General features: G+C 35.0%; 1 protein-coding gene across 3 annotated transcripts in view; it reads left to right on the plus strand.

The window, feature by feature from the left end:
- The window catches only part of USP9Y (ubiquitin specific peptidase 9 Y-linked), a 159,609-nt gene that overhangs the window by 67,004 nt on the left and 80,286 nt on the right, over positions 1-12,319 (plus strand). For all 3 annotated transcript variants that reach the window (NM_004654.4, XM_047442772.1, XM_047442771.1), the window contains 7 exons: positions 2,834-2,921; positions 5,349-5,691; positions 7,237-7,332; positions 8,415-8,626; positions 9,785-10,025; positions 10,372-10,521; positions 11,292-11,412. In NM_004654.4, coding sequence (NP_004645.2) covers positions 2,834-2,921; positions 5,349-5,691; positions 7,237-7,332; positions 8,415-8,626; positions 9,785-10,025; positions 10,372-10,521; positions 11,292-11,412 — 1,251 coding nt within the window. The remainder of the gene's footprint in view (positions 1-2,833; positions 2,922-5,348; positions 5,692-7,236; positions 7,333-8,414; positions 8,627-9,784; positions 10,026-10,371; positions 10,522-11,291; positions 11,413-12,319) is intronic.

Genomic DNA, 12,319 nt, shown 5'->3' on the forward strand with positions numbered 1-12,319 from the left:
TTAAGTATACTCAGCAACACTGGAGCTCACTGAAATAAACATATTTTAAGTATTCATGACATTTCATTTTTTCTAAATTTTTTTTTTTTTTTTTGAGACTGAGTCTCACTGTCACCCAAGCTGGAGTGCAGTGGCACCATGTCAGCTCACTGCAACCTTCATCTGCTGGGTTCAAGCAGTTCTCCTGCCTCAGCCTTGTGAGTAGCTGGGATTAGGTGCCCACCACCATGCCCAGCTAATTCTTATATTTTTAATAGAGATGGGCTTTCACTGTGTTGACCAGGCTTGTCTTGAACTCCTAACCTCAGGTGATGTGTCTGCCTTGGCCTTGCAAAGTGCTGGGATTACAGGCGTTAGCCACTGTACCCGGCCTTTTCTTATTTTTTTTTTCAATATTTCTAAGCTATGTTGTTCATCTGTTTTCTCTAATTGTCACAAATTTTCTAAAAATTTTCCAATACTCATCATTTATGTTAAAAGATCCATATATATTAATGAGTAGACCAGTGCAGTTCAAGCCCATGTTGTTCAGGGGTCAACTGTACTTGTTACTGGGAAATAAACATAACTTTAAGGAATAAAATTAGGTGATGTGTCCAGCTTACCTTCAAATGGTTCATTAAAATGACATATACATATAAACAGAGATACCTGTAAAAACAAATAGGCAACATCTAAACAGTTGATATATCTGGATAAACAGTAGTTCATTGTATTATTTTTGCACCTCGTCTATAAATTTGAAATTACATTAAAATGTAAAGTCATACACATAAACCAACCCCATGCCACACACTCCCCCTCAAGAAAAAAAAAATAGCTTTTAGTTCAAAGTGTATAGGGGATGAAAAAGTACCTCGAGTGCCAGTCTGATGTTTAAACAGATGTTTCAGTATCAGTGGTCGGAAAAACAAGAAAACATATATGCAACTGAAAGTCTTTTTATATTATTGTGCCAGATTTTTAAAGAAAACTTGAGGTTCTGAGATTTGGTGCAATCTGTCAGTCTCATGGAAGTAAGCTGTACGTTTCTACAACAGTTAGCAGGTGTTCCTGTATATAGAAGTAAAAAGCCACGAGTCAAAATATGTGAGATTTCTTTCTTCACTAAATAGTGCACATTCTAAACATTCTATTCCATCTTTATTGCAAGTCAAGATTTTGCTTCTAATTGAAGAACGTTTTTTGGCACCAAGTGTGAACGTTACAAGGTCCAAGAGATGTATACCTGAGAAATACCTGTGTCTGTTGCAGAAGAAAAACAACATATTTCCTCCCATACTATGTTTAAAAGTTTCGGGATAAAGGTCTTTCATTCCTGACAACACTTGGTATTGGCATGTATTTCAACTGTCTTCTGTTTAATCTCGCAAACAGTCATTTTCAGGCATATGGTTTTTATCGTATTCTTCTAATGCTTTTCTTCTGTTACTTTTATTTTGCTAGGTATTGGGATAAGCCACCTTAGGGCACTTTTCTTTAAAAGCATGGCTTTTGTGTTGGAGTAAATTCATATTTTAGTTGAGTGTTACCTTTTGAATAAGTGTGTGTGTGTGTGTGTGTGTGTATGTGTGTTTGAGATGGAATCTTGCTCTATCACCTAGGCTGGAGTGCAGTGGAGCAATCTTGGCTCACTGCAACCTCTGCCTCCCATGTTCAAGTGATTTCCCTGCCTCAGCCTCCTGAGTAGCTGGGACTACAGGCGTGTGCCACCACACCCGGCTAATGTTATATATTTTAGTAGAGACCATGTTGGCTAGGATGGTCTCGATCTTCTGACCTTGTGATCTGCCTGCCTCTGCCTAGCAAAGTGCTAGGATTACAGGCGTGAGCCACCGTGCCTAGCCAGGACAGTAGCTTTGAACTTAATCTTTGCTGTTTAAAATGTATTTACAGGTCAGGCATGGTATCTCACGCCTATAATCCCAGCACTTTGGGAGGCCAAGGCAGGAAGATCATGAGGTCAAGAGATCAAGACCATCCTGGCCAACATGATGAAACCCCGTCTTTACTAAAAATACAAAAATTATCTGGGCATGGTGGTGTGCACCTGTAGCTCCAGCTACTTGAGAGGCTGAGGCAGGAGAATCACTTGAATCCGGGAGACAAAGGTTGCAGTGAGTCAAGATCGCACCACTGCACTCCATCCTGGCAACAGAGCGAGACTCCATCTCAAAAAAAAAAATTCTTTACAAACACTGAGATTTTCACCCAGTAGATGATGTTAATAAAGTAAATAAAAAGCATTTACCAATTTTATATTAAAAAATAAAGATTTCTGACATAGGCTAGGCCTGGTTTCCAACACAAGTATTTATAATCATAATGACAAGGTAGGTTTTTCAGAGTATCTGAGACTGTTTGAGCCAGTTCATACCCTGGTGATTGAGATACTCATATGATAACTTTATAAAATACAGCATTTTCTCTCATCTTAATTTTTTTGAGTGAATAAAGAAGTGATATTTTTAATGTTGAAATACTTTGCCTACAAAGAAGGAAGGAAATATTTTGCCTACAAAGAAGGAAGGAAAATGGAAACATGATGGTAAAAAAATCGTAGGCTGTACTCACAAATTGCGCCAGTGTGTGTGATGAATGAAGGGGGAATTAAGACTAAAAAAATATTTTTGATAACGTGTTCAGCAAGTTATATTTTTCTTTGTGTAAAAAGTGACTGTATTTTTGTGGGAGTAAAGGGTTTAAATAAACATACCATAATTACAAGTTTCCGTTAATGAGAATGATTATTAACTTAATAATTTCTTTTTACCTAAGTCAATAATGTTGTGGATATACATGTGTATAATGCATAATTTTGGTTTATTTGCAGATCATGAAGACTATGATCCACAAACAGTGAGGCTTGGAAGTCGATACAGTCATGTTCAAGAAGTTCAAGAACGACTAAACTTCCTTAGGTTTGTTTTAAACCATCAGTGCTATTCTTTTAAGGCACTGCAGTGATAAGGAATGCAGGGTTATTCTGTATTTATTTTTTCTTTTTGAGACAGGATCTCATTCTGTCATTCAGGCTCAAGTGCAGTGGGGCAATCTAGGCTCACTGAAGCCTCAACCTCTCCAGGAGGTGATCTTCCCACTTCAGCCTCCTGAGTGGCTTGTGAATATTTTAACAATGATAGAGACAAAAGCAACCTCTAACTATGTATAATAACATTACTTTAAATGGGATAAGTAAAGTTGTCTGTCCTTTAAGCCAAACCTATGTTCCAAACTGAATTTACTCAGTAATACATAGCTTTTAATGACATGTATTTTTTTATGTATGTATAGCTTGAGTATTGAGAGATCTCTTAGAAATGCAGTTTACCATACTATTGCAAGAAAAGTATTTGAATAAGTATACTAAGAAAAGTTGCCAGAACTATTTATCAGTGTTTTATAAAATTTACTGAATTCATTGTTTCTCTCTATTAATTCTGGGATTAGTTTTCTTTTTACAGAGCATGTAATTCTGTTTGCTGATCAATCAGATAATTTATGGGACAATATTTATTTGACATAAAGTCTGTTTTTTTTTTTATTCAGTCAGTTCATAACTATTGAGGATTTTACGGTCTGCCAGATAGATCTCATCTTTATTATAGGATTTCAGTTTGCAAAATATTCTAGTATCAGGTTTTCTGACACTTGTAGTACCTTTTTTTTAACCACATAGAAAAACAATCTGCCTCTTAATATTGAGTATCTCTTCCAAAGTGAGCCATTGTTTTTGGTAAATGTGTTCCTTAGGTTTATTGGGTTGGAAAAATTAGTTAGAATTTATTCATTCTATTAGTAAAGTTTAGAATCAGATGACCTTCCAGAGTTCATATTACAGTACTACAGTTAATCAAAGGGGGAAGCTATAAGAGCTAATGCCGGCTGTATATATTTGGCCTTGTGCTAATCACTTTACTCATCATGACAGCCTTGTGAGGCAGGTGTTAACTCCTCATTGGGATTCCATTTGGGGAAAACAAAGTGCTTTGAAATCACACAGCTGGTATGTGATAGAGACCAGATTACCCATATAGAAGTTTTTAAAAGTGTCTGCCCTATGACACCAGTGAATTTTCAGACATTTACACTGAAACGTTAGTTTACAAACTGCTGTGTTTCATCTTGCTGGATCTCTTGTTGCTCATTTATAAATTAGGATGAGAGAGATTAGGTAGATTTAATCTAGGTGGTCCCTTCATGCTCAGCACTCTTACAGAGATATTAACAACTTAAAATTAAGATCCAGGCCAGGCGTGGTGGCTCACACCTGTAATCCCAGCACTTTGGGAGGCCGAGGTGGGCGGATTACCTGAGGTCAGGAGTTCAAGATCAGCCAGGCCAACATGGTGAAACTGGGTCTCTACTAAAAATACAAAAATTAGCTGGGTGTGGTGGCACACGCCTGTAATCCCAGCTACTCAGGAGGCTGAGGCAGGAGAATTGCTTGAGCCCGGGAGGCAGAGGTTGCTGTGAGCCAAGATTGTGCCACTACACTCCAGACTGGCCAACAGAGTGAGAGTCTGTCTGAAAAAAAAAAAAAAAAAAAAAAAAAAGATCCAGAAGAAGAAACCTTCTGCTATTAAATAAAAACACCACACTCTTTTTGGAATAAAGCCACTGTCATTTTGTTAACTAAGTGTGAAGTTATTATTCAAATTAAAATAAACTTATTTTTCCTTTCATTGTCATTCACAGAAATAGTAGACAGAGTGGGTGGAAGAGTGCTAAGAGAAAGTGGAAGCCAACCAAATAAAGAGACTGCTTAAAGCAGACTAATCATTGTTTTATTGTAGTGAACTAATAAATAGTGAAACAACTAAAAAGCTCGAGGACATCACTGAGGACACACTAATGATTACAGAGATAGACATAATTTTTAATTACTGGTGGATTTTTTGTTTCATATGGCTAGTTATGAGTGCAATATTTTCAGAAATGTAAGCAGTTTAAGCCGCTTTAAATTCATGGTGATATTTAGTTATCTCTGAAAGTCATTTAGTGTAATAACCTTATTTTGCAATGATATAATTTAAGGGAGAGCTAAATCAGTATTGGGTTTCAGAAGGAGAGCTGAAAATGAGGAGAAGTCTTCTTACTTAGGGCACATCACCCAGCAAAGTTGCTGGCATTTTGTAGCTGCCTCATATATATTTGTTAAACAAATGTGAATACCTGACACATTTTAAATTCCAGATATGTGTTTAACAAATTATTTTGAAAGAATTCATATTTTTAAAGCTGTAATTAAAATATAATTGTGGTGAAGTATTATGTTGTGCCTGTCAAAACTTGCTTTGCAGGAAAAAACTATGTTGACCCTAATTACTGATTTATGTTTCTCCAAGATTTTTACTGAAGGATGGCCAACTGTGGCTCTGTGCTCCTCAGGCAAAACAAATATGGAAGTGCTTAGCAGAAAATGCAGTTTATCTTTGTGATCGTGAAGCCTGTTTTAAGTGGTATTCCAAGTTAATGGGGGATGAACCAGACTTGGATCCTGATATTAATAAGGACTTCTTTGAAAGTAATGTACTTCAGCTTGATCCTTCCCTTTTAACTGAAAATGGAATGAAATGCTTTGAAAGATTTTTCAAAGCTGTCAATTGTCGAGAAAGGAAACTAATAGCAAAAAGAAGATCCTATATGATGGATGATTTGGAATTAATTGGACTAGACTACCTTTGGAGGGTAAGTGAGTAGTAAGAACTTTCATATGCCAACATTGTACCTGAGGTTACTTTTTAAAAATAATTCAAGAGTCATAATTTTGCCTGAGAATTTCATGGCTATATTCTGTTTTGATGCTTGTCCTAGAAATCTAGGTGTGCAAGGATAATTGCTCTTCTTTACCTTCTTATATTTTATTCATTACTGGTTTTTTCTCTCACCCTGTTGTACTAACTTAGAATCTGTCACCCTTTTCAGATGTATAGAATTATAGTAGGCTGGGTGCGGTGTCTCATGCCTGTAATCCCAGCACTTTGGGAGGCCGAGGCAGGCAGATCACAAGGTCAGGAGACGGAGACCATCCTGGCTAACACGGTGAAACCCCGTCTCTGCTAAACATACAAAAACAAAATTATCCGGGCGTGGTGGTAGGTTCCTTTAGTCCCAGCTACTTGAGAGGCTGAGGCCAGGAGAATGATGTGAACCTGGGAGGCAGAGCTTGCAGTGAGTTGAGATTGCGCCACTGTACTCCAGCCTGAGGACAGAGCGAGACTCCGTCTCAAAAAAAAAAAAAAAAAAAAAGAATTATAGTAACCCTCTACATGCTGACTACATCTTCTATTCTCCCCTCCTTTGTGAAAGTTATTCTCTCTTTTTTATATAAGATAGATCTTGAAGTTTATATGTATTTGATGCTGACATGAACGATGGACAGAAGACTATTACTAGGATATCATTATGAATCAATACCTTTATTGATATTGTTCACTTTGTATATATTTAAATAGCTGGAATAAATGTTGCATGCTCATAAAGCTAACTTTCCCATATTAATAGTGTAATATATCTTGTTGCCATCTTGATATATCTAATCTGTTGTGTCACAGCTTATATTTGGGTTTTATTATTTACTTATTCTCTGGACAAACTTTATGTAAACTGAGAAGTTGCTACGGTGTTCCATTAAAACCAGTGGTTTTTGAAACATTTTAACTAGTAGTAACTCCTATCAATTAAAAAACTATATACAGGTAGTGGAAGTAAGAGAGGAAAGCTTGCATTTCTTTGCTTAGTTTCCCATTATTCATTTCCTTTCTGTCTTCAAACTCCCCAAATTTTCATTCCTGAAATACTCTAAGGTGCAAGGATTCTAAACTTAGTTTGAAAAACACTGATTTATTAAATGATTGGTAAAGATTTACAAAAATTGCTGGGGCCAGCAGGACAGCTCTATGTTAAATAGTATTTCTCGCACCTTTTTTTTTTTAGCATACTTGAATTAACCCTTGAAAACCTATCAGCTTGACTAACAAGTTGACAAGTTAAATATTATCACTTGAAGTATTTGTGTCTTTCATTCTTAAGCAAACGGCTTTGTTCAGAAAACTTGTATTTTTTATTAATCTTTGAATTCTTAAGATCCCTTATTGTATATTAAGTATCAATCAACTTATCTTTAAGTTATTGAAGATTATATTAAAAATAATTAAGGATATGATTTAAATTTAAATACCAAATTAAACTGTATCTTGAATGGTTTTAATACTGTAATATTTTTGGAACCAGGTTGTGATTCAGAGTAGTGACGAGATTGCTAACAGAGCTATAGATCTTCTTAAAGAGATATACACAAACCTTGGCCCAAGATTAAAAGCCAATCAGGTGAGAATTGAAGTGCTTAAAAAGATCCACAACAATTGGGTTAAGTTGTTGGGTAGTATCTTTTTTAACCTGAAAATAACTAGAAAATAATCTTTAACTCTTGTCAAAAATATTTTTTCAGTGTTTAATCCACTTTTCTCCCTTGCCCAATGCTGACTAAAGAAATGTTTCTTTGATAATTATCCTTAGGTGATTGAAATAATTTTAAATGTAATTATTCATTATCGTACGTTGAGATGGCCAGAACTTTGTCTTAGATTGGCCTTTTGTCTAGGCATTTGTTTTTTTTTGTCTTTTTGAGATTCCTGTCTGTCACCCAGGCTGGAATGCAGTGGTGCAGCCACAACTCAGCTACAGCCTGGAACTCCCAGGCTCAAGCTATCTCCCTGCCTCTGATTATAGGCGCACACCACCGCACCAGCTAATTTTTTTTTTCATTCTTCTTGTTAGAGATGAGACCTCACTATGTTGCCAGAGCTAGTGTCTAACTCCTGGGCTCATGCTATCGTCCCTCTTCAGCCTCCCAAAGTGCTGGGTTTACAGGCATGAGCCACATGTGCCCGACTGGACATTCACTTTTTTTTTTTTTTTTTGAGATGGAGTTTCACTCTTCTTGCCCAGGTTAGAGTTCAATGGCGGGATCTTGGCTGTCTGAACCTCCGCCTCCCAGGTTCAAGCAATTCTCCTGCCTCAGCTTTCCGAGTAGCTGGGATTACAGGCGCCTGCCACAACACCTGGCTAATTTTGTATTTTTTTAGTAGAGACGGTTTCACCATGTTGGTGAGGCTGATCTTGAACACCTGACCTCAGGTGATCCACCTGCCTCGGCCTCCCAAAGAGCTGGGATTACAGGCGTGAGCCACCACACCTGGCCAACATTCACTTTTTAAAAACAAAATTGGTTTATACTTGCTAGTTTCACGTAATCAGTTTCCTTTTCAGGAAACTTGTGTTTTACTACTGGGTAAATATGACTATGATTGAGTTACCTTTAAATTGACATTTTACTGCTTTTTATTAGATTGATGTCACATTTCATTTGTAAACAACCTGGATTATCTGTATTTGTCCATTATTTATAGGTGGTTATCCATGAAGACTTCATTCAGTCTTGCTTTGATCGTTTAAAAGCATCATATGATACACTGTGTGTTTTTGATGGTGACAAAAACAGCATTAATTGTGCAAGACAAGAAGCCATTCGAATGGTTAGAGTATTAACTGTTATAAAAGAGTACATTAATGAATGTGACAGTGATTATCACAAGGAAAGAATGATTCTACCTATGTCGAGGTTTGTGTGAAGTTGATCTCTAGTGTTAATTTACAATTACTTAATATTTTCTTAGAAATTTACTTAGGAAAGTAATAATAGGTTAAAAGGAAAGTGGGGGATATTCTTATTTCTGAATTCCAATATTCTCACCTTTAAAAACAGCTATATCTTTTTTAAAAAAGATGCTTTTTGATAGGGTACATTTTTATTTTGATTTATATTTTGGTAAGGTATTTCACTCCTTAGTTAACAGTGTCTCTTTTATTTTTCCAAGTTGTTATCATTCCTTAAGTGTGATAGAGTTATTTTGCATTTGATGGTTTTTTTATTTGAACGTTCTTAAAAATAAAATTAAGAACTGCTTATTAAGCCAGTATGAGAAGGAATATTTTTAAATGGTGTTTGCTAAAATTCCTTTAAATTTAAAAACTAATTACCATAAAATAATTAGATGATCTAATAGTCAGATATTAATATAATCATAAATTATATCCAAATTCTATAGCATGTGATACGAATAATAATCATATAACTAAATCATATAAGTATAACTAAAGTCAGTTACTTATTAACAATTTAATGGCAATTACAGTTTTGGGGAAAGTTTACAGAATGAGCACAATCACGTTTTTTAAAAGTCTGATTCCACTTTCTTAACTGAAAAAATGTAAAATTGCTTTTTAATACTGTTTATTTTGCATCTTACCTATCAGAAGAGAATAAAGTAAGCAAGATTATACCAAGATAAATATTTTGGGGTATATTTTGACAGAAATGTGCATTTTAGCATTTTTGTTGATATGTTCAAGCCGAAACTCATATTCCGTGTTTGAAAATAGTCTTAGTGAGTTGAGTTTTGTGGCATGAAAATAACTGAAGCATTATTCATGTCTGTTGTGATCTATCATAAGTAGGAAGCTTTTTTTCAGCCTTCACAGAGATAAGATTAACAACAGAATTTGATTATTGCATTTCCAAGATTGTGATGTTTGTTCACTGTTTAAAAGAAGCATGGTGTTCTAAAGATCCTAAATACAAAATAAGTTGTTTTAACTGTCATCCTCTGACTTAATAATAAAATATTAAATTTTCAGGGTTTTTTTTAGCAGTCTGCTGAATATCATTGTGGTTTTTTCTTTTTTTAAAATTCTTTTTATTTACTTATTTATTTTTCAGAGCATTTCGTGGCAAACACCTCTCTCTTATAGTTCGGTTTCCAAACCAGGGCAGACAGGTTGATGAGTTGGATATATGGTCTCATACGAATGACACAATTGGTTCAGTACGGCGATGTATTGTTAATCGTATTAAAGCCAATGTAGCCCACAAAAAAATTGAACTTTTTGTGGGTGGTGAGCTGATAGATTCTGAAGATGACAGAAAGCTAATTGGACAATTAAACTTAAAAGATAAATCTGTAAGTAAATACAGCTTTTAAATAAGTCATGAAACTTAAATGTTGAGGCTATATTAGTAAGCCTCAACATTTATTATTAACGTATTATTTAGTAAATGTCTGTTGGGCATCTAACTATTATGTACAAACTTCTGTGTTGGTATCTAGATTATAATCACCTTGAATAAGATAGATGTCACAGAACTTAAAGGAAATACAATTAAATGGTTATGTTAGACAGTAATTTTTAAATGTATTTCTAAAATTAAAGCCTAAGGTGTATTTTAACCTTTCAATGTATCTAGTTCCCATTACTTGTAGAAATGTTTTGCCTTGTCTTTGCTAATAAACACACTGTTATTTTCAGCTAATTACAGCCAAACTTACACAAATAAATTTCAATATGCCATCAAGTCCTGATAGCTCTTCCGATTCCTCAACTGCATCTCCTGGAAACCACCGTAATCATTACAATGATGGTCCCAATCTAGAGGTGGAAAGTTGTTTGCCTGGGGTGGTGAGTAATTCTCTATTCAAAATATGAAGAAATGTGTAGAATAGTTCTTTTTCTGAGGAGCTTCATAGATTTATAGAGATTCATAAATGGGTCAAAATGTCAACGGTATAGTCAACTGTTAACTTCTGAGTGAATTTCTTAGTTGTAGGAATTTATAATAAAATTATGTAGGTAGAATTAATCTGTTATAGCTTACGTATGGTATTAAATATATAGCTCTAGAAGGTACTACTATATTTTCAGTCTTTTAGGATAGTTTTAAAGAAAAATAGGATGTATTATTTTCTATGATTCTTAGAAATACATCTCATATGTAAAGGAACAACAGCTTCTACCTTTCTTAGCCTTTCCCTCAGCCTCTTAAAAATTATGCCTACAATTATACCAGTCACTTCAGCATTAGGGAGGTTTAAGTCTCTGAAAAAATTGGATTAGGAATTTAATTCCTGAGGGAGTGAGGTGCCTTTTGTATAATCAGCATCTGAGTACTATGTGAAACTACAGTTTACAAAAAAATCGAAAAACTGTTGCAATGAAATTACTCAAAGTATATTAGAAAGCTTAATATGTAATGTATAAATTTGCATGTTGAATCAATGGATTTATCAATGTAAAAATAGTCATTTGGGGTGGTATAAATGGTATATCCAGAAATGTGATTGACCAATAGAAACCTTATTTGAAGGATAGAGAGTGGATAAATTTTCATTAACAAAAAACTTTTTGTAGCACAATTTGCAGGTAAATATTTTGTATATTCTGTATTCTAGATAATGTCAGTGCATCCCAGATACATCTCTTTCCTTTGGCAAGTTGCAGACTTAGGTAGCAACCTGAATATGCCACCTCTTAGAGATGGAGCAAGAGTACTTATGAAACTTATGCCACCAGGTAAGAAAATGGTCCATCCCCCTATTCCACAGAAAGGATGCTCATAACTACATGATGGATGAAAAAGAAAATATTAACAAATTCTGTTTGCAAATCTAATATACTTTGTGGAATAGTCTCTAATGTTGAACATGTGTCTTTCATAGTGTTGCTGATGAAAATATTTTCATGGATGGGAAAATATTTAGGAGCATGTAATTTTCATGAAATACTTCTAGAAAACTAATACTTCAGAAAGTCAGGGTTCTTTCAAGGCTCCCAGTGATGAACAACAGTCTCCTACCTCATCCATCTATCAAAGAAAACTCACCCTCAAGGTTTACCTTTCATTACTGGATATACCACTTTTTTTCTAAGCACTATGCCCATGCTATTTTTGTGTGTCAGGTTTTAGACATTAAGTATTGACTTGTGAAAATGTATTTCTTATGCGTTACCGCATCCTTACTCTCTGGTCATGTCACAGTTTTTGTTTAAATCTATATGCATTGTTCACATTTTTAACACAATGTGAAAATACTACAATCTCCTAAGTTACTCACACATGATTATACTAGATTTTAATATTGCCTTTATCATTTGCTTGGTTTTCTTGGTGTTAATTACTAAATTTTCTCATACTCCTTCCAGTAATTTCCTACAACAATTGTTCATGTGGTCAGATCTGTTATATCATGTTTTCTTGGAGCATTTCATCTTCCTGCTGCCTTGTGCTTTGTTCTCTTTGACACAGCTATCATTCTGGGACTTCTGTATACAGCCTTTCCTTTGGTGGTCTTCTGGTGCTCCTTGGTCTTGCATCTTTCTTGAGTTAATCTTCATTTTGCCGAAGCACACCCTCCTAAAAATCGATACATGGAAAACAAGATTTTTTTGTTAAGACATTACTTTTCTGAATGCACCTAAA

The sequence above is a fragment of the Homo sapiens genome, chromosome Y (assembly GCF_000001405.40).
Source record: "Homo sapiens chromosome Y, GRCh38.p14 Primary Assembly".
In the NCBI taxonomy this organism is placed as follows: domain Eukaryota; kingdom Metazoa; phylum Chordata; class Mammalia; order Primates; family Hominidae; genus Homo; species Homo sapiens.